Consider the following 22,666-nt stretch of genomic DNA (forward strand, 5'->3'; position numbering starts at 1 on the left):
GCAGCTCTTGAGTTCAAGGGTCCCCATTCTTTCCCCAGGTTCATCGGCCTCCAGTTCTTCTTCAAAACAGGTTCTGTGATCTGCTTCGCCTTAGTTTTGGCTGTCCTGAGGCAGCAGGACAAAGAGGCAAGGACCAAAGAGAGCAGATCCAGCCCTGCCGTAGAGCAGCAATTGCTAGTGTCGGGGCCAGGGAAGAAGCCAGAGGATTCCCGAGTGTGAGCTGTCTTGGGGCCCCACCTGGCCAAGAGTAGCAGCCACAGCAGTACCTCCTCTGAGTCCTTTGCCCAAGATTGGGTGTCAAGAGCCCTGTGTTCCATTCTGGCTCCTCCACTAAATTGCTGTGTGACTTCAGGCAAGACATTGATCCTCTCTCAGCCTTTGCTTGCTAGTCTGAACCAAAGAGTTGTTTGGGCATTTGCTGTGTTGGCCATTTCTGGAGCAAGAGGGTCTTCTTCCTCCTTCCCCCAGCCAGCCAGCTGTCCTGGGGCCAGGCTTTCCTGGGTGGAAAGAAGTATACCTTTCCCTGGGGCCCTAGGATAGCAAAGTGAGCCATAGTGGGCCAGGCTGCCCTCCATGCTGGGCCCCAGCCCAGGTCTGCACTCGCCTGGATCACCTTCTTTGAGCCTTAGCCATCTCCTGTCAGGTAGGAATGAACTTGCCAGCCTTCAGGCTCGTTCAGCTATGACCATCTGTGCGGTCAGGGTACACTCAGCTCTCCTCCCCAACTCCAGCAGCCTTTAAGAAGTGTCCCTTTGGCGCCCCCTGGAGGCAGAGCACTGAGCTGGACCCTGGGTAGACTCCCACAGGGAGGACGGAGCTGGCCTCAGGAGTGGGACACCCAGACTTGGCAGGGCCTTCAAGAGGCCTGTGTGGGGGCCCCAGGAATCCTTAGCTGAAGCGGGGAGACTCACTCTCCATCTCAGGAAATTCTAGCCCTTGCCCTCAGGGAGCCACGGTTGAGGGTGAGGCCCAACACCTGCCTTAGGGCCCTGGGTGGGCAAGTCTGGGCCCTGGGGTAGGGAGGGAGACTCAGGCCCACACTTGGGTATTTTCTAATTTCAGACAAACACACACTCAGCGCGCACTCACTGATTCCTACACATTGCCAAGATTTCACACATGTGACCAGGGGCCACCAAAGTCCCTGTGACCTTTGTGACTAGGATCCTAATTTCTCTATTTTCTCCTGGGTGCCTGGGTCTGTGTCACCTGGGGCAGTGTGGATAATGTTTAGTTCTGTGACACTGTTTTTTGGGGGTGGCACCTGGTTCTCCGATGCCTGGGCTGGTGTCAGGCCCAGGACTGTAGTGCTGGGAGCAGTAAAGCTCAGCTCTGTGTAATGAGTGATGCTATGGCTTGCTCGTGTCTTATGATCCAATCCTTTTCTACATCAGCCCTTGTTTTGTTTTATGGCTAGTCTTATCTGGCCTGGTTATTTCCTTGCGGGGAGGAGAGGGTTTGCTAATCTGCTCCCAGCCCAACCTATTACCACCCCACCTCGCTGGGACCTACTGCTCGGGAGGCAGCAGACAGGGAGCCACCAGCAGTGGCTTCCTGGCCCTGTGCTGGGGGTGGGGGGAAGCTGGGGGCACATGTGGCCCTTGCCTTCTGAGCAGCTCCCAGTGCCAGGGCTTTGAGACTTTCCCACATGATAAAAGAAAAGGGAGGTACAGAAGTTCCAATTCCCTTTTTATTTTGCTGGTTGGTATCTGTAAATGTTTAATAAATATCTGAGCATGTATCTATCAACGCCAAGAATTTCAAAGTCTCCTTCAACAATATGAGGCTTTTAGGATGTTTATATTCCTTCATCCCTCTTGTTTCCCAGGTTTTGCAGGGAAAAAAAGTCTGGAATTATAGATACAGCTTATTATTAAATTTGTTCTTGCATAATGTCTCTTCTATTACAAAAATTCTTTCTTCATAAACTGCATTAGAGGTTTGCAACAACCACATCATTTCCATTAACTTAGATTTAGGTTTTACTGGATTCATTGCTCACCATTATTGCTTGTATATTACATCTTTTCCAATCTTTATATTCTGGTCTAATTTTTGTTTGAGTGTCTTCGTCTACTAATGGTTTCAAAAATGGAATAAGGTCATGAGGATTTCTGAATCCTCACCTGTCCAAATTGTCATTCACATTTTATAGAAGAGGAAACTGGCTCAGAAAGCACAAGTGACTTCCCCAAGATCACACAGAAAATAAATGATGGAGCCAAGGTTGGATGTGTAGACCTTGTGGGAACTGAAGGTTTTATAATTTGAGGAGCCCTCTTTAAGAAAAATATACAAAATTATGAATATAAAATTAGGTACAAGGTACCTATATTTACCTATAATGAGAAAAGAAATCAAAACAGATACATCACACAATCCCCCCAAAATGCGTAATACTTTTATTAACTGCCCTGCTTAACCTCTGAGACACATTTTCTCCCCCTGATGATTAGAAGAATTTTCCACAGACTAGCTTCTGGCTCTGTACATTTCAAACCTGGTTTCTCCTGTTTCTTGTCTACTGCCCATATACTTCCTGGGCTGGGTGCCATGACACACATTCATATCACGATATGACCTCTGCATATGGCAACTTAATATCACCATGCCAAGTGAGCTGGGCAGTGGGTAGAATTCCTAGAAGCTATTCTCTACACAGAGATTACTAGCAATGATTTATCTATACACAGAGAACCACATAAATATTAATATATCCTCTGTTTCAGAAAACCACATAAACATATCCCAGTGAACCCAACTCAAATCAGTCCCCCACTCAGCTTCCCCTTGGTCAGATCCCAGAAGTGCCCATGGCCACTCCAATTATCCCACATAAAGGAAAATTGAAACACAAGGGAAGTTGGAGTGGGAAGAAAATAGTAATTTTGATTGTGGTTAAAGTATCTTACCTTTGCAAATTTTATAAAAATATGACAACGTGAACACATCGCTGAGGCCCTCCCTGGATCTGGGGAGAGTCCTGGATGCTCAAGCTGCATTCACATCACGGTGAGTCCGCCTCTTGGTTGAGCCAAGATCTGAAGGAAAAGACGAGGTCCTTGTGCCTAAAGTCTTCCAAACTGGACATGGTGAGGAGACTCAGGAGTTACCCAAGAGAGAAATGGGTCAAGAGCCAAGGGGTGGAGCAAGTCAGGGCCAGAGGGGTTTTCCAGGCCCTGTGGGGGTCCCAGGGAAGTCCTCTCCCCTAATATAGCCTCTGGTCAATGAAGAGCCACAAGCATTTGCATCTGCAAGCTTACTTTCTTACACTGTACCAGGAAGCTGGGAGGAGAAGACATTAAGTCTCCCTGCTAGATTGTGCTGGTGTAAAGTCAGCAGAGGACAGGACTCAGACCAGAACTGACATCCTGATGCCTAGGTTTCTTTTCTTGTAGACTCTGGGAAGGTCTGGGATGCTAGATGCTGGGAAGTTCTAGGGTAGGCAGATGACCCATCAGGAGCTGGCATCCAGGGGTCATGACTGACATGCAGATAAGTGAAAGAGAACTCAGCGACATCCTCACCATTGCCTGGAGGTGTTGAATTCTTTCCCCTTCACATACCTTTGCTTATGCTGTTCCCTCTGACCTGGGTTATCTTCTTCATCCCCATCGCACAGCTTGTCTCTCCATCCCCACTTCATAAAGTCCTACCCAATCTTCCAGGCCCAGCTCAAAGGCCACCAACTCCAGGAAGGCAACATGGTATAGGCAATGGGGGGCAAGTGAAAACCACCTCTGGGGATCCAATCAAAGGCATAGACTCTCCACTAAATATAAAACAAAACACACACACAGAGACATATACACAATTGTGCATATGATTTCAGAGGTTGAAGACCATATGATGCCTGGGTGTAGACCTCCTAAGCATCCCAGGTCCCCAGTCAAAAGCCCTTAATGGAGTGAAAAGATTATAGAGTTGTGGAGAGAGTCAGACTTGGGATCAAATCTTGACTCTGCCACTTATTACAGTGTGACGATGAACAAATGATTTAACCTCTCTGCACCTCAGTTTGCTCACCTGCAAGTGAGGTTGAGCATGCCTAGCTCCTATCTCCCAGAAGCTGTGAGGACCGGGTAAGATCATGTACATGCTCACAGGCACCACACCTGATGATCAGGATTTGTAAGCTCCCTTCCCCTTCTGTCCCTGAAAAAATTTCATAAACACATAGAGCATCAGAGTCGGAGGGGGAAGTGACAACAGAGGGAGGAACACACCTCCTTTGCCCTACCCTGGCCACAGCTCCGTTGTCCCCAATCTCTCCTCCACTGTCAGCCAGGGCTCAGCCAGCCCAGTCTTATCTCTCCCCACAGCCAGCTTGGGACAGCTTTTCTCAACCAGATTTACATTTTTATTGATTTTCTTTCTCCCTCCTAGAGCAGTCCCTCCCTTCTACTTCCCCTTTGGCTATCAAATGGGCTTACCCTGGGAAACAGCAGTTCTAGGGCTGGCCAAGAAGTGATGGTTCAAGGTTGGATTCATTCACCCTTCCTTCCTTCATTCATTCAGCCACTCACATGAGCAACACATATCCTACATGTCTGCTCTGTGCCCTTCTCCTGGCATTGCTGGGGACACAACCATGTGTCAGATACAGTCTCTACTCAGGAAACTCTCAGTGTAAACAGACGACAAACAGTAACAAAAGCATGAGTAGTCATACAGGAGAGGGAAGAAGAGGAAGCCAAGGACTCTTCCTGGGGCCAATAGGGAAGGCTTCCAAGAGGTTATATCAGACCTGGTGTTAAGGATTAGGCAGGACTTCCTCAAGTGGACAAGGTGGAAATGGGCAGGAAAAACAACAGGACGAGCAAAGATAGAGAGAGGTGTGTCTGAGATACAGTGACAAGAGCAATGTGGCTGGAGGGCACTGCATGTGCAGGGCAATCAGGAGACAGAAGAGAGCAGAGGCTGGAAAGACCAGCAGGGACCAAGCATGGAGACCCAGCTGAAGGTGTGGATGCTTCCCTGAGGGCAAGGAGGAACCCCTGAAGCACTGATTGATGGATTATTCCATTGGCCAGTTATTTTAAGCAGGGAGTGACATGACAAGATTTGCATTTTGGAAAGGCCGCTGGTTGCACCATGGGGGCTTTGAGTGGAAAAGAGAAGCTGAAGGCCAAGAGCTCAGGCAGGGGGCAGGTGCAACAATCAAGAGAAGTAGGAGGACTACAGCCAGGTCAGGAGAGGCATCCTAGAAGTGGGATATCTAAGGTCAGTCTTGAAAGACGAGTGGGAATGCACCAGGAAGAGAAGTTGGGAAGGGTGTCAAGGCAGAAGAAACTGCACAGACAAAGTAGACAGAAACCTCCTGGCAGGCTTGGGGTATTTCCACTAGTTTAGCAGGGCTGCAGCATGGCCTAAGAGAGAAGGCATGGAGAGGGTGAGGCTGAAGAAAGTGGGTTGATGCTCTCAATGCCACTCAGTGTTGTCCACCTCCCGAACCTAGCCCCAGGTGAGAGAGGAGAGGGAGCCCTCACCTCTGTACAGAGGTGGCTGTACAGGTCTGAGCCCTAGGTCAGGGGTGCTCCTTAGTCCAAACACACCTTTTAGTGTTCACTACATTTCACATTTTACACAGTCCCTTTACACCCCGTCCTCATGGTTTCCTGGTGAAGAAGGCAGGAAAGGGATTATTATTGCCATGTAGTAGGTAAAGAAACTGAGGCCCAGAAAAGTGCAGAAACTTGCCCAAGGTCACTCAAGAGCCCAGGTATCCCCCTCCTAAGGCTCCCATGTTGTTGCTAATAAACCTACTTGTCCCTGAATCACATATGTACAATAGATGTAGTAAGTGCTAACTAATGTGGTTGGGATGAAAAAAGGGGGGAGGAGAGAAAACACATCAGAGAAAGAGGTTTCCTTTTTATGTCCCCATTTCCTCAGCCTTCATCCTGCAGCTGGGGACATTCCAGCTGGGAAAACAGAACCCAGGTCCCTCTGCTTTGGAATCCAACAGACAGGAAGGTCAATCCAAGCTCTGCCACTTACCAGGCATGGGAAGTCACTGCACTCATCGGAGCATTGGTTTTCTCATCTGTAAAAGGGATAAATAAGCTTCACCTATCAGAATCGTTGAGAGGATTTAATGTGATAAAGTAGCAATATAGTAATCTACTACTGAGTAATAAATTTTCTGGCTGACACAGTGGCTCAAACCTGTGATCCCAGCCATTTGGGAGACTGAGGCAGGAGGATCACTTGAGCCCCAGAGTTTGAGACCAGCCTGGGCAACACAGTGAGGCCCCATCTCTCCAAAAAATAATAATAATAATAAAAAGAAACTTAGCCAAGGGTGGTAGCACCCACACCTGTAGTTTCAGCTACTTGTAAGGTTTAGGTGGGAGGATTGCTTGAGCCCAGGAAGTCAAGATTGCAGTGAGCAGTGATTGTACTACTGCATTCCAGTCTGGGTAACAGAGCAAGGCCCTGCCTCAAAAAACCCCCCAAAACCAAAAAATAAATTTTCCCAAAGTTTAGCAACTTAAAACAACAAATATTTATTATCTCATAGAATTTCTGAGGGTCAAGAACCCACAGATGGGCTAACTGGAAGGTGCTGGATCTTCATGAGGATTTCTGATGAAGTTGTAGTCAAGCATCAGCCAGGGCTGCAGTCATCAGAAGGCTCAACTGGGGTGAGAGGATCCACTTCCAAGTTCATTCGATGATTGCTGTTGGGCCTCTGTACCTTGTTGGCAGTTGACCAAAAGCTTTGATTCCATGTGCCTTTTATGATCTAATATTGGAAGAAACATACCGTAACTTTTGCCATATTCTCTTGGTCATGTAGACAAACCCTGGTATAATGTGGGAGGGGAATACAAAAAGGCATGAATACCAGGGGGTATGGATCATTGGGAGCCATTTGGAAGCTGGCTACAACAAGCACTCAGACCAGTGCCTGACACACAGTAGGTACTTATTCATTAGTCGCTGCTATAACTCTTGCAATGACCTATCACAGCCTGGTTGAGAAGATAAGATCTGGACATGATAAGGTGAGAAATCTTTGGCAAAGTGAAATGTAACTTGAATTAAACAATGTTCAATTACATTAGAAGAGGGTGTGCCGGACAAGGCCCTGGCAACCAGGGAAGACTTCCTGGCGGAGATGGAGAGGAGGTAGGAGGGCAATCCAGAGAGAAAACAGAAGATGAGTATGGCAGGTTGTATTGGTTGCCTTCCCATGGCAAATGCTCTCTTCTTCATTCTGGTAGCAAGGTGCTCAGCCACAGGGATGATCCAAGGCAGCAATGGAAATGCCTTCCCCTTTGCCAGAAAGTGGTCCAAGAGTAGACATGTGACCTCGTCTTAGTCAATGACATGTTTGGGGATAGTCTGCTGGGAAAGCTTCTCTCCTGGATAAGAGAATGATGTGAAGGGAGAATACCCTTTTTGCTACCATGCCCTTTCTCCCTGCTTGGGAGGACATGGTTCCTGATGGCACTCAGTCATCTTGCAATCACAGGGGTAGTCACCCTCGAGGCTCAGAATGGGAAATGCCTGGGTCATCAAAGACATTGTTGAATCAGCAGACCAATCCTCATTCCAACTTCTTCTGGCCTCATTAAAAAATAAAAAGTTTAAGCCACTCTAAAGCAGGTGACCTCTTCCTTGCATCCTAAATGATTCAGTGAGAAAAGTATCCTGGTTCCCTCTGGGACTATTTTCTTTTTCTGAGGAAGACAGAGGGAAGAGTGGAATGGGAAAGGGCCCAGGCTGGGAGGCAGGCGTCCTTGGTCTAACCCCAGCTCTGCCTCTGAGTTGCTGTGTGATCTTGAGCAAGTCCCTTCTCCCCTGGGCCTCCAATGATTACAGCTAATATTTATTGGCTGTTTACTGTGTGCCCAGTGCTCTTCTAAGAGCTTCCCTTGCATCATCTCATTCAATCTTCACAACACCTCTGTTATGTCAGTATCACTATTATCTTTATTTTAGGGATAAGGAGACTGAGGCCCAGAAACTTGAGGTCCAGGATCCTGACTATAAAGCCATATTGCCTAGCAGTAAAAGGAAGTATCCAGACAAGGTGACCTCTAAGGGCCTCTTAAGCTCAAATATTCTTTCATTTGCTGTCCCATTTCTAGCTACATGATCAACAAGCCAGCTTAGCCTAGAGAAAAAAGAAATAAGGGCTGTCTTTAGACATCTGAAAAGCTGTCACGTGAGCAGGAGATTAGACTTACTCGGGGTAGCTCAGAGGACATGAACTGGACCAGTGTGGGAGCATGATAGGGAGATAGAGTGCAACTTATATAAGGGAGAATTTTCTAGCACAATTTGGCAGGCGGCAGAGCTATGCCCAGATGTGATGACTCCCACGTCATAAAGGTTATGCAAGCTTGTGTTTGATAACGCAGTATTACTGACAAAGGTTTGAGCAGGTATGGGACTGAATGGCATAAGACTTGTGGTAGAAATTAAATGGGATAACATATGAGATTACTCCTAACATCATGACCAGTGCAAATAGACAGGATCAATAAATTATTGGGTTCTTTTTTTCCTTTTTAACACTGAGATTCTTGGATTTTAAAATTGTCTAATATGGAGTTTTGGCTCTCTGGCTCTAATATTTTACCATTCTATAATTTCTGTAATTCTTCCCTGCTAAGGTGCTATGATTTTAATACTAGAACTTTCCATAATTGTGTGGCTCTAGAAGCTGAGAAGCCTCTTATTTTATAATTTAATAGTCTTTAGCTTTAACAATTCAAGTCAATAAAGTGTCTCTCATCAACTCCAGAAATACAAGGGAGTTGCTCCAAATGCTGTGGTTCAGTGGCCTGGACACACATTGGGCTTTTCCTTCTGCCCACCCTGTCATTCCACCAACATCCTCCCACCCCCAGCCTCAGGCTCTCCATTCCAACCAACCCTCCTCCCCAATTCCGATCCCATCCACACTCTGCTGTCTCCCAGCCTACCAAAGAGGTACATTACTCTCTACCTGCTGGCTACTGTTTATTAAACAAGAGTCTTCACTGTGGCCAGGCTTATACTTATTTCAAAGGTGATATAAAAAATGGGAAGACATGGTTATTGTTCTCATGTGGCCTAAGGTCTAGAGACACATGTCTCTTGCTTTCCTGTTAACCCAACTCAAATGTACCTCTTCCAGGAAGCCTTCCATGGTTGACACTAAATCTCTAACACCAACAATCTCAATTTGAGTGTGAAATGTGAAGATCTGAGTTCCTTGGTTGGTTATTGTACAGACCTGTAACTTGTCTGTCTATCCTGTCTCCCTGATTATATGTGAGATTTCCCCCTGAATCAAGAGTTTGTCTCCTCAACCAGACTGGGAATTTTACAGAGGAAGACAATGTCTTCTCCATCAGACTGGAGGCTCCATGTAGACATGGGCCAATGTTCCCTTGTATCATACTTGAGTAGAGTTAGAGGCACAGTGATGTTCCTCTATCAGATCAACAAATTCCCAAAGGCAAGTATATGTCTCTGCCATTGGACTAACGATTTCACAAAAGCAGAAGCCACACCTCCCCTTTAAGATATGGAAGTCCTCAGCTGGGCGCAGTGGCTCAGGCCTGTAATCCCAGCGCTTTGGGAGGCTGAGGCAGGCAGATCACCTGATGTAAGGAGATCGAGATCATCGTGGCCAACATGTTGAAACCCCGTCTCTACTAAAATACAAAAAATTAGCCAGGCGTGGTGGTGCGTGCCTGTAGTCCCAGCTACTTGGGAGGCTGAGGCAGGGGAATCACTTAAACACAGGATGCAGAGGTTGCAGTGAGCCAAGATCGCGCCACTGCACTCCAGTCCGGCGACAGAGCAAGACTCAGTCTTAAAAAAAAAAAAAAAAAAAAAAAGATATGGAAAAAAAAAGATATGGAAGTCCCTTAAGGACTGTGCCTCCACCCTGGGGACCCTCTCCCTGACAGCAAGGAGTCTAGGGCTCTGCCTTCTCTGTGTATTCCCTCCCTCTATCCCAGCCCAGGACTCTGGTCATAGGAAAAAATATTTTTCTTAAAGCAGATAGACAAATATATGGAAAAGGAAAGGTTCAGGAGGCAGAGTAGAAACTCGAGCCTCTCCCAACATGTCCAGACCCTCTCTTGGTCTCTCCTAGATCCTATTCTAAGAGCTGCTGTCCCTTGGCCAGGAGGGGGCCTCTCCCAGCTCCTCCCAGCAACTCGGAGCAATAAGTGAAGATGTCAGCACCTTGGACAGCGCCCAACCCATTACAGGACGCGGAGCCAGCGGAAGCCAAGCTCTCCACCTCCCTTAGCCTCTGGGTGATGGATTTCCTCTCTTCTCAATTTGATTAAAGCCCAGTAGATAACCAGAGCGCCTTGTTCCTTTCTCTTCTCCCTTCCTGATGAACATAATTAACTCCGTCAGGCTGGGAATGCTTGCTCTTAAATACTGCCTGCCCAGCTCCCACCCAGGCATGAATCAGTAAAATAGAACACTTGGAAGATTCACACGTTTCTTCCTAGGGAATGAAAGTGGGAGAGGAAGCTGTCTCTGAGATATACAGAGGCTGTGAATGAAGGCTGACATGTGGTGGTTGGGTAGAGAAACCCCTAAACTGGAAGTCAGGAAGTTTACTTTAGTCCTAGCTTTGCCACTAATCCAGATATGATCTAGGCAGGTCATGTGCCCTTTCTTTCTGAGCCTGTTTTTCCATTTGCAAGATGTATATTGGTCTAGATAATATCAGATGCTGAGTTCAGTGCTAATGTGCTATGGTTGAAAATCTTTAAACAGAGAGGGAAAGGAACTTGCCCAAGGTCACACAGCAAGCTTATGGCAAAGCAGACTTTAATTCATGGCTCCTGGCTTCTACCCCAGTGCTATTTCCACAAACTTACCCCTTCATTCATATCACAGACTTTCTTGCCTGAAGATGGAGGCTAAGGAAGTTAAAAACAGATAGGATTGCATTAATTGGTGTTAGCATTTAGAAAATAACATTTAACATATGTGTAAATGCTAATCTCTCTGAAGAGAACAGAAAGCATGGCATAAATAATTAAGATTATGGGGAAAGGATCACCTGATAGAGACAGAAAATCAACCCCACACTCAGAGAATCCCAGAAAGGTTTTGTGACTTGCCCAAGGCCATCTAGTAAGGCAACTCTTGAATCTTTTAAAAAGAAAGAGTGAACTCTTACCTTAAGTGTTGGTGGTGCCCCTGTCGGAGAAGGAGAGAGAGAGAGACAATATGAATTAGCAAGTATGTATTAAGTTGCTGACGTGTGCCCAGCTCTCTACTAGGCACTTGAGGAGGGATATAAAACATAAGGTATGAATGCTGCTCTCTAGGCACCAGGTCTTTGATGTTTTGCTTCTTCTACTTGGAATGACTTCCAATGTACCTGTGTATATCCAAATACTGCTGTTTTATCAAGGCCCAAACCAAATGTCTCTCCTGACAGGAAGGCATCCATAACCTCATCCAGAAGCCACTCCCTCCTCCAAATCTCCAATGCATTTTCTGTGTTCCTGTTTTATAGTATTTCACACCGTTTGCCTTATCTGCTCCTATTCCTTCCCCTAAGAAAAGGAAGGAGAGAGAGAGAGAGAGCACAAAATACTCAACACAAGATTTGACATACCATAGAATCTCAGTAAAAAATGGATAGATGGGCTGGGCATGATGGCTCATGTCTGTAATCACAGCACTGTGGGAGGCCGTGGTGGGTGGATCACCTGAGTTCAGGAGCTCAAGACCAGCCTGGCCAACATGATGAAACCCCGTCTCTACTAAAAATACAAAAAATTAGCCAGACGTGATGGCACATGCCTGTAATCCCAGCTACTTGAGAGGCTGAAGCAGGAGAATCACTCAAACCTGGGAGGTGGAGGTTGCAGTGAGCCAAGATCACACCATTGCACTCCAACTTGGGCAACAAGAGCGAAACTCTGTCTCAAAAAAAAAAAAAAAATGGATGGAAGGATGGATGGATGATGAATACAGATGTATGGGTGACTGGGAAAGAGGGTAGATGAAGGCATGAATATGTGGATGAGTGAGTGGGTGGGCGAATGGATGGATAAACAGATAGGGAAGTATATCATTGGTTAGGAAGGTAGAAAATTGATTAAATGTAAGTGGGTTTGTGGATGAGTAGGTAGTTGGAGAGGTGAATGAGTGCTCTATGGACAGATGAATGGAAAGGAATGTGGGTGGTTAGCTGGGCTGGTAAATGTATGGGTTAATATATAGTGGTTAATGCATGTTCTCACTTATAAGTGGGAGCTGGACAATGAGAACACATGGACACAGGGAGGGGAACAACACACACTGGGACCTGTCAGGGGGTGGGGGAACAGAGAACATCAAGATAAATAGCTAATGCATATGGTGTATAATACCTAGGTGATGGGTTGATAGGTTGCAACAAACCACCATGGCACATATTTGTCTGTGTAACAAATCTGCATTATATATGGTTGGGTAGTTGCATATGGGTGGGCAAACAAGTAGATGAATAATTGCATCATTGTATGGAAAGATAAATGTCAGAGTAGGTGGAGAGAAGAATTATTTAGTGGGGGGACATGGAGATGTTCCTAATATCTTTTTCATAGAAACTTTCCATTGCTGGTGCCAGAAAAATTACTATGGGGTTTAGTTGACTCTGTGCTTAAGCTGAGTCAAAGTGTGTTAACACCCCCAAAGATCTCAGGTGATTTCAGGCTGTATCAATGGAAATCTAATAACAAGACCAAAAAGAGTGATGATTCTATCCTGCCCTGAGCTGTTCACACTTCCCTGGGGTCTGTGCTCCACTCTGTACCTCTGAAGAGATGATGCCATCCATAGCTTGTGCATTGCTATGGTGTCCCCCAAAGTTCATGTGTTAGAAACTGAATTTCCAATGCAACAGTGTTGAGAGGTGGGGCCTTTAAGAGGGGATTAGTTCATAAGGGCTCTGCCCTCATGAATGAATGAATATGGCTATCATGGAAATAGGTTTATTATTGAAAGAGTGGGTTTGTTATAAAAGCAACCCCTCTCTTGCTCACTCTCTCTCTCTCTTTCTCTCTCTATCTCTCTTTCTGTCTCACACACACACCCTCTCTTGCCCTTCTCCCCTTTGCTGTGGGATCACACTGCACAAAGGCCCTCACCAGATGTGGGCCCCTCAATCTTAGACTTCCAGAAGTGTAAGAAATAAATCTCTGTTCCTTATAAATTGCCTAGTCTCAGGTATTCTGTTATAGTAGCACAAAAATGAACTAAGATGTGCACATAGGAGATACAGTAGGAAGTAATCTATTAAGTCCACCAAATGAAGAACCACTGAAAGAACCATAAGTGTTCAGCCTGGAGAACAGCCAACTCGGTAGTGGCAACCACTGTGTCCCAGGATCTGGCTGGCTGTCCTGGGGCATGCCCTATGTCCTCAGCAGCAGAGCTGGGTCCTAGGGGAAGTCACCAGGCTGCTGTCCCAGCCCCATGTGAAAAAGGACTTTCTCCTAGGTGGAGTCATCACATAAGGGAAGGACTATCCCAGGGCAGTGAGCTCCCTATTCCTGAGGGTGTACAAATAGGGCCTGGGCATCCTCTATCAAGGAAGCTCCAAAGTAGAGGCATGCTTGGTGTGGAAAGTAAATTAAGGTCTCTTCGCAGCCTAAAGTTAAATAATTTGTTCATCTCTTCACTTTTCAATGAATTAGATTTATCTATGTCCTGTGCTCAGAACTGGAATGCAGGGAAGTTCTGTTCATAGCTAAGGGTTAGGGGGATCTAAGAGACAGACAGGGTCTTAGGGACCCTTGTCTTTCTCTATATGTAGGACAGGGGCTTGAGGAATGAGGAGTTGCTGAAAATGTCCTTTCATAGACACAAATGACTAGGGAGGAGGAGGAGGATCAGAGCCACTGAGAGCCAATCCATGACCCAGATTCTCTGTAATTAATGAGTCTACGTCACTGATGTGTTGGCTTCTGATCAACACCATCTCCCCAAACCCGGCCCCACTCTCTGGTATGAGAAGATTAAATCAATTAGGAGGAGGAGGAGGAGATCTGGTTGGCGCTGGTTGGGGACAGCAGATAGTTCACTTACATAACTGGGGATTGAGGTTTGGACTTGGTCCTTGAGTAGTGGGGGTGGATTCCAGACCCCAGGCCTTTAGAGAGGGACTCTGGGACTTGAGAGTGAATGCAGAAGGAGAAAGGGAGTCCAGGAGAGGAGGGAGTCATGAGCCCAGGCTCATCTTGTATCTTCCTGCTAAGGAACTAATCCCTGTCCTCTGGGCTAGAAGAGGTCCAAAATGGAAAAATCACTGTCCAGTCCCCAAATGAGGGTGTCCCAGCCACCAGTATCATTGAACAATGCAAATCTAGCCAAGCCTCCTTTCCTTAGCCTGGCATTCAAGGCCCTGCAACCTCTCTAGCTGCATCATCTGCCTCCAAAAAGTGGGTATGAGTGAAAAGGAACTACCAGGTCCTGGCATTCCTTCCGGGCTAGGTACCAGCTAGGCCCTGGAGGTACAGAAGGAAACAAACCCGGTTCTTTCAGGTATACTGCTTCGTGGGGGGACACATACTCACAACACTCCGTGCCAAGTGACAAACAGAGTTCTGCATGGGCAGGCATGGAGACAGCACAAGGGAGGGAGGCCTCCCAAGGCCAGTTTCAACAGGCTTCCCAGAGGAGGCAGTGCTTGCACTCCCTGAGCCTTAAAGGAAGGATGGATTTGTGGGAGTTCATCAGGCTGCCCTGGTTGAGAGAGGGCTTTGGGTGGAGGGAAAAGCATGTACAATGGCTTGGTGGGTGAGGTGGGTTGGCATGCATTCAGAGAACTACGAACGAGTCTTGTGGTTGGAGCCTGGAGAGTGAGGTAGGGATGGGAGGTGCAAGGTAAGAGAGGTAGGAGGGCTTAGGTCTCACTTTTGATGGGATGCCAAGAAAGGATTGAGGCAATAATCCCAGACTGTCAATCCACACTTTCTGAGCACTAACGGCAAGCCATGCCCCATGCTGGAACTGGGGTGGGGTGAGAGTGGGGGAGCAGAGATGAACCTGACTCAGGCCCTGCACCCATGGGAGCTCTAGAAGCACACATGAATATTCCCTCTTTTTAAGCTCGTTAGTACCAACTTGGCTCCAAGTGGGATTCAGGCCAGACATGGTATTTCTGGGGCTCCAATTGTTGGCTAGATCTGCCTACAGCCCCTTGCCTAAGGACTGAGATATCCAGACAAGCAGTCTTGCTGCTCAGAGGGGAGCTGACCTCTGGGGGCCTGCCCCTGACAACTACCTGACCTCCCAAGGATACGTCTTATGGTAATCCAGGGCCTTGGGAAGAAATGCAGACAGATGAGAGGATAAACTGGAACCCTGAGGATAGGGGCAAGACATGGATTGAGAGGTGTTTAGGGGGTGAACTGACCAGGACTGCTGGATGCTGGGGAAGAGAGATCAAGGGAAGTGTCCTGGATGGCACTCAGGATTTCTATCTTGGGCAGTGCCATCCGTGGTAAACATGGGAGAATGTGAGATCAGAAAGGGAAAATGAGTTGGAACTGTTTCAGGCTGCTGGAATCAGGATTCATTGGGTAGAGGCCCAAGAGCCTTAGGAATTCAAATGTACCACACATAAGCTGCCTTCAGGAGCTTTCTTCATCACATGGAAATCTTTGTACTCTCTCCCTTCCCTCCCTTACTCTTTCCATCAGCAGCCCTCTCTAAGAACCTCCCCTTTCCGTGCTGGCTCTGGGCCAAGCAGGGAGGCAAAGATCTGAGAGTCACCCTGTTCTTTGTCCAGAAGGACAGCACAGAGAATGGCACTTCTACCATATCCCCCAGGACCTTTCTGCATGAAAACTTGGGCTGGAAATTGAAGCTAACGCTTCAAATTTACTTTATTATTGGAAAGATTTAAGAACTAACTTTGGCTGGGCATGGTGATTCATGCCTGTAATCCCAACACTTTGGGAGGCCAAGGCAGGAGGATTGCTTGAGCCCAGGAATTTGAGACCAACCTAGGCAACACAGTGAGACCCTGTCTCTACAAAATAAATAAATAAATAAATAAATATATATAGATAAGAACTAACCTTTGTGGTGCAAGCAACAGAAACTGACTGAGGTTAAACAAAGCAGAAAAAACCTATTGAAAGTTCCACCAGGCAGCTCAGAATGGATGAGAAAGCTGGAGATGAATGAACAGCTGAATTCATAGTCAAGTTCATAACATCGGAACAGCTGATTCCAGTGTCTCCAACAGCATGATCTTGGCCTCTGAACATCACCCCACTGCATACCCAGACTGTGGCATGACACAAACACAATGAGTTCTAATGAAGCTTCCTCCCAGCCTCACCAATTCTCACACCAAATCCTGAACCAGGCACCCTGTCGGCCAAATTGCCAGGGAGTGGAAGGGAAAGAGTATCTGGCCACGTTTGACTTTGAAGGGGGAGATGGGATCCTAGTTTCCATAAAGGCTCACCTAGTGGGATATTTACTCAAAATACAAAGCAACAGATTAGTCCTATGCAGCAAAAAAAAAAAATGTGACAAATGTCCACTGCACCTTTATTGAGGACCCACTAAGTGCTGAATGTGTTGCCAGGAGGTTTTTTTGTTCGTTTTTGATTTTGTTTTTTTTTACAGTAAAGGCCCAGCACTGTATAGGGCTCCAAGGCATCTGCCTTGCCTGCAGTTTTTATATACACAATTTATTTTTATTTTTATTTATTTATTTATTTTTTACTTTTAAGTTCAGGGCTACATGTGCAGGTTTGTTACATAGGTAAACTTGTGTCATGGGGGTTTGTTGTACAGATTACTTCATCACCCAGGTATTGAGCCTAGTACCCATTAGTTATTTTTCCTGATCCTCTCCCTCCTCCCACCCTCCATCCTCCAATAGGCTGCAGTGTGTGTTGTTCCCCTTTATGCATTCATGCGTTCTCATCATTTAGCTCCCACTTATAAGTGAGAACGTGTGGTAGTTGGTTTTCTGTTCCTATGTTAGTTCGTTAAGAATGATGGCCTCCAGTTCCATCCATGTTCCCGCAAAGGACATCTTGTTCTTTTTTATGGCTGCATAGTATATATACAAATTTTCAAGGCAACTCTATCAGCTAGATGATGCTTGGTCCCATTCTACAGCTGAGGAAACTGAGGTTAATAAAGGTGAAATAAATTTCCCAAAGTCACTCAGCTAGTAGGTGATGAAGCCAGGACTCAAAAACTGGTGGGTTTTGTTGTTGTTATTCATAAACACATTATGCTGCCTCCCAAATTGTAAATACAAAGCACTTGTGCACATTAAAAAAAAAGTATGGGGCACAAAAAAAAATTACTGGAAATAAATACTCCAATATCTTCACACAATGATTGATGGGATCATGAGTAATATATTTTTCTAGCTTTCTAATGTTTTTCTGTACTTTCCTGTAAAAAAAAAGAGCATACTTTACCTTAATAATCATAAATAAAAATAACGTAAGACTGTTTTTTTGTTTTTTTGTTTGTTTGTTTGTTTTGAGACAGGATCTCACTCTGCCACCCAAGCTGGAGTGAGTGGTGCAATCATGGCTCTCTTCAGCCTTAAACTCCTGGGCTCAAGTGATCCTCCCACCTCAGCCTCCCAAGTAGCTGGGACTACAGGCCCATGCCACCACACCCCAGCTAAAAAACAGTTTTTTGTTTGTTTGTTTGGGTTATTTTTTGCGACAGAGTCTCACATTGTCACCCAGGCTGGAGTGCAGTGGTGTGATCACGACCCACTGCAGCCTTGACCTCCCAGGCTCAAGTGACCCTCCTACCTCAGCCTCCCAAGTAGGTGGGACTACAGGAACATGCCACCATGCCCGGCTAATATATATACATATATATTTTTTGAAACAGAGTCTCGCTCTGTTGCCCAGGCTGGAGTGTAGTGGTGCAATCTTGGCTCACTGCAATCTCCGCCTCCCAGGGTTCAAGCAATTCTCCTACCTCAGCCTCCCAGGTAGCTGGGACTACAGGCACCTGCCGCTATGCCCGACTAGTTTTTTTTATTTTAGTAGAGACGGGGTTTCACCGTGTTGCCCAAGCTGGTTGCGAACTCCTGAGCTCAGGCAATCTGCCCACCTCAGCCTCCCAAAGTGCTGGGATTACAGGCATGAGCCACCGCGCCCGGCCTAATTTTTATTTATTTCCTGTGGAAATAAGGTCTTATTATGTTGCCCAGGCCCATCTTGAACTCCTGGGCTCAAGCAATCCTCCAGCCATGGCTTCCCAAAGTGCTAACGTTATAGGCGTGAGCCACTGTGCCCAGCTGTAAAACCGTTTTAAGGATTATAGCAGTGTTATAATAATTATGAAGAAAATATGCATAGAAAAAAGACTGGAAAGATGTCCGTCAAAAAAAGTCTCTAGATGGTGGGACTATGAGCATAATTATTTTTCTTTCAACTTCTGTTTTTCAAATTTTCACACCAAAAAAATAAAAAGTAAAATACATTTTATTTTAAAAACAAGCATAGGCCGGGCATGTTGATTCACACCTGTAATTTCAGCACTTTGGGAGGCCGAAGTGGGTGAGTTGCCTGAGTCCAGGAGTTCGAGACCAGTCTGACCAACGTGGTAAAACTCTGTCTCTGTACAAAATACAAAAATTAGCCAGATGTAGTAATGAACGCCTGTAATCCCAGCTACTCGGGAGGCTGAAGTGGGAAGATGGCTCGAGCCCAGGAGGCGGAGGTTACAGTGAGCTGAGATCTCGCCACTGCATTCCAGCCTGGGCGACAGAGCCAGAATCTTGTCTCGAGAAAAAAAAAAGAAAGAAAGAAAAAGAAAAATAAACAAGCATAAATAAGATATTACCCTAGTGATGGTACTGACGTGCCTTGGTCCTTTCAAGTTCTCATAGTCCTATCCTATCATGGTTGGAAGCATAGGTAGTTCTGTGTTTTCTGGGACAGCCTGGCAGTTCCTGCAGCATTCACTATCCGAGGTGGTGTGGCCAGCATGAGGGCACAGTGATCACGGTTATCTCCGGCTGACCACTCAGAACCAGGGTGGGAAGAGCCCAGTGTGCCCACGTCTTGTAACAATGTGTATGGTATCAAGCCCTTCTGCACTATGAGGACTTCAGCTCCAGTAGCTGGAATCCTCCTCTCTGCTGGTTTCATCCCTCATTTCCCAGGCTTCAAGGTTCACCTTCCTCTACAAATGGGGCAGGGCTGCTCAGTTGTGTGAATTGTGGGCCCCTCCCTGGTGTCTTCTGTATCTTTCTTGTCTGAGTGGCAAGCCCCCAGCCCTTTCTTCCCTGCACTGTCGTGACCTCCCCTGGCCTCCAGAGCCCGCTGCCTTGCTCGGCCTTTCTCACCCTTCCAAGTGCAAGGAGGATTCTTGGTGCCCCTCTAGAAAGTCAGGCCCCCTCTCTTCTCAGTTTTTTCCTGGGCAAAAAACTGAGGAGCTAGTAACCTCATAGGCCACCCAGCCCAGTGCTTTCTGTGTCTCTTTCTCCTCTCCCCAAACCTCTTCCCTTCCCTCTGCCCTCCCAGCTTCTTCACCAAGCTCCTCCCTCTCCTTTTCCTTCCCAGTACACTCCCTGCTGAGCCCCTAGAATCTCCAGGTTGAGGCCCACTTTGGCTCAGGTAGCTAAGCCGCTGCAGTAAGAGATGCAGTGGGTAAAGTAGAGGCAGCCGGGGAGGAGGAGGGCCCAGGCCAAGGCTGAGGTCTAGGAGGCTAAGCAGGGCAAGCAGCCAACCCTAACAGCCCAGACCAGAGCCACCTCAGCAGCTTCTGCTAAACTCTAGCGAGGTATCTATGCTTGGGTGGCAGCTCCAGGGCCAAAGAGGCTGGTGGCAGGAGTAGGGCATTCTGCTGAGCTCAGCACAGCCTCCAAAAACCTCTCTGGAGAAGGAGGAGGCCACAGAGTGACCATGGACTCGGGGATAGGTGAAAACACTTCCTCCTCCCTTGGGGAGGTGACTCAGATCCTGGAAAAGACTCCAGAGGACACCTGCTGGATGGAGGGCTCTCTCTCACCCTCTGTCTGTAGAGCCCTGGCTCTCATGCCTTCTGGGACAGGAAGCTCATTTCCCTCTCTGGCAGCCCACTCCACTCAAGCTGCTGAAATGCCTCTCTGAGCCACAGCCTGTGCTGGGCTCTGGGGAAGCAGGGATGAATGTGGTCCCTGCCCTCAGGAGCTCGCCATCTGGGGGCAGGCAGGGGGCAGGTGGCAGAAACTGACAACACACCCCCACAGGGAAGCAGAGGGAGCTGAAGGGGGCCCTAAGCTAGCCTTGCAGTGGGGTAGGCATCAGGAATGGCTTCCCAGAGCAGGTAGGGGACTGAAGAGGGCCTTGAATATACAGGTATGGTGGGTCTGTAGTTTCAATTATCCTCTAAGTGCTGGCAAATCCCAGCTGTGCACCCCCAGTCCTGACATGGCTCCTGAATTCTAGGCGTCAATATCCCACTGCCCAGTCAATGTCTCCACTTGGATGTCTTGGCATCCCTAACTCATCAGGACCAAGGCTAAGTTCACCCTCTCTGCCCACCTCACACCTGGTCTTCCCTCTGTCAGTTCTACCATCCACAGGCCAGAAACCCTGGGCCCATCCCTCCCCTTCACCCCGTATCCAGTCTGTCACCAGGCCCTGAGTATCTCAAACCCACCCACCACTCCCCACCTCCTCACCACCACCCAGCCCAAGCACCATTGCCTTTCACCTGTACTTCTCCAAGCGTCTCCTCATTTATCTTCTCATACTTGGCTCTTTCAATCATGTGGTGAGAGTGATCTTTACAAAATACAAATAAAATTATGTCACATTTCTACTTAAAAGCTTTCAATGGCTTCTCTTTGCCTTTGAAACAAAGGTTAAAATCTTCAAGGCCTGCAAGGCCCAGCATGGCCTGGCCTTCGCTGACAGCGCCAGTAGTATCTCAACAACCCCCTCCCTTGTCTCCTGACCTCCCGCCTCCAGCCCACCTGGCCTCATTGCCCACCTTAGAAACTTCTGTATGTGTTACTCACATTGTCTTTCCTGTGGGCACAAAAACCTGGGATGTCCTCTTTTTCTCTCCCAAATGACTCCCAGGACATCTGTTTATGTGCTCACTGACCCTGAACACCAGTCTCTAGCCCTTCTCTCCTGAAGGATCAGCTGCAGGACACAGTGGGGGGTTACAAAGTAACCGGCCTGTCTGGAGCTAAGGTCCCAGAACCTCCCAGTGTCCACAGAGGCGTGTCCCTGCCTGGCTCTCAGATGCCTTCCAGAGCTCCCACTCCCCTCCTGCTCTCTCTGTCTCCCTGTCTGGTGTTTGTTTGTTTGAGACAGAGTCTTGTTCTGTCGCCCAGGCTGGACTGCAGTGGCATGATCTCGGCTCACTGCAATCTCTGCCTCCCGGATTCAAGTGATTCTTGTGCGTCAGCCTCCCAAGTAGCTGGATTACAGGCACTCATGCCCAGCTAATTTTTGTATTTTTAGTGGAGATGGGGTTTCACCGTGTTGGCCAGGCTGGTCATGAACTCCTGATCTCAAGTGATCCACCCACCTTGGCTTCCCAAAGTGCTGGGATTACAGGCATGAGCCACCATGCCCCACCCCCTCCTGCTCTCTTCTTCCATTTCTGGTGAAGAGTTGGCAAACCTCCTTCCCTCAGCCCTACCCCTTCCGGGGCCTCAGTGCTCCTCACCACTGAGGGGCAGAGGTGAGGCCCAGCCTGGGTCATCGTGCTGGGACCTACAATCCATGTCCTCCCTGGGCTCCCAGACAAGCCAACCAGCCTCGGGCCTCAGGCCAGGCACTGCCTCTTCTACAGTTTGCTGGAGGGTTCAGGTTTTCTCTGGGCTCCCACAGTATTCTGTATGCCCAGCACTGTCAAATCCACCTGTTCTAGTGTTGGTTGCTCTTCCCCCGACCAGGAGCTCAACTTGCTCAGGGGCTGTGAGTTTTCATCTCTTCACCCCAAGCCTAGCTCAAGGATGGTCCCAGAAGAGAGGCTCAGGAAAGACTTAGCATATGAATTCAGGACTAATATCACATAAATGTGTGGTTTTGTTTTCTTTCCACATAAACTGCTATTAAACTCTGTTTCCTTCATCCTGAACTTTTTATGAAGAATGGACCTAAGAGTCTTATGGGCCTTGGCTTTGATCTGAGCTCCATCTCTTACTATGTGACCTGAGCAAATGCTTAGCTTCTCTGGCTTTCAGTTTCTTCCACTATAAAATGAGAACAGGGTGGAAGGGGTGAAGACTGAAAAACTACCTACTGGGTACAATGTTCACTATTTGGGTAATGGATACACTAGAAGCCCAAACCTCACCATTACACAAAATATCTGTTTAACAAATTGCATGTGTACCTCCTGAATCTATAATTAAAAAAAATAAAATGAGAACAACATCCTCCTAAGGTTTTCACTATTAACTGAGATATCTTATGTTAGGGTACAGCACGAAGTATGTGCTCAATAATTCCTTCTTCTCTCCCTCACCCGAACCTCTGAGCCCCGATGAGGACTTGACATTTACCTCCATGAACGTGAACCTATGGTCATCACCTATGGGCCAAGTTAATGCAGATCATTTTGAAACCCAGTTCTGCCATCTGACATAATCACTCTCCCACCCAGATTTGATAAGCATGCTTTATTTGGCCTAATCCAAGTCCCTGAAAAAATACATCAGACTGAGCAAGATAGCAGGGAGGAACAAGCC

The 22,666-nt window shown here is 47.2% G+C and overlaps 1 protein-coding gene and 2 long non-coding RNA genes across 11 annotated transcripts in view; 2 read left to right on the forward strand and 1 right to left on the reverse strand.

The window, feature by feature from the left end:
- Positions 1–2,188, forward strand: part of SLCO2B1 (solute carrier organic anion transporter family member 2B1) — a 55,443-nt gene extending 53,255 nt beyond the window's left edge. For all 6 annotated transcript variants that reach the window (NM_007256.5, NM_001145212.3, XM_017017157.2 and 3 more), the window contains one exon: positions 39–2,188. In NM_007256.5, the coding sequence (NP_009187.1) occupies positions 39–219 (181 nt within the window). In that variant the 3' untranslated portion in view covers positions 220–2,188. The remainder of the gene's footprint in view (positions 1–38) is intronic.
- On the reverse strand, positions 1,677–21,283 carry TPBGL-AS1 (TPBGL antisense RNA 1). Of its 4 annotated transcripts, XR_007062780.1 has the most exons (8): positions 20,978–21,283; positions 20,671–20,741; positions 11,153–11,172; positions 10,848–10,889; positions 6,548–6,748; positions 6,001–6,046; positions 3,567–3,772; positions 1,677–3,041 (listed from the first exon to the last, which is right to left on the reverse strand). It is a non-coding gene; the product is annotated as a TPBGL antisense RNA 1 (long non-coding RNA). The 4 variants fall into 4 exon arrangements; XR_950308.4 differs by lacking the exon at positions 6,548–6,748 and having other exon boundaries at positions 1,677–3,772; XR_007062781.1 differs by lacking the exon at positions 6,548–6,748 and having other exon boundaries at positions 1,677–3,772; positions 4,027–6,046.
- Positions 6,462–10,318, forward strand: LOC124902716 (uncharacterized). The gene is made up of 2 exons (XR_007062782.1): positions 6,462–6,647; positions 10,103–10,318. It is a non-coding gene; the product is annotated as an uncharacterized LOC124902716 (long non-coding RNA).
- Positions 21,284–22,666: the final 1,383 nt, after the last annotated feature.

This window comes from Homo sapiens, chromosome 11 (assembly GCF_000001405.40).
Source record: "Homo sapiens chromosome 11, GRCh38.p14 Primary Assembly".
NCBI classification, from domain to species: domain Eukaryota; kingdom Metazoa; phylum Chordata; class Mammalia; order Primates; family Hominidae; genus Homo; species Homo sapiens.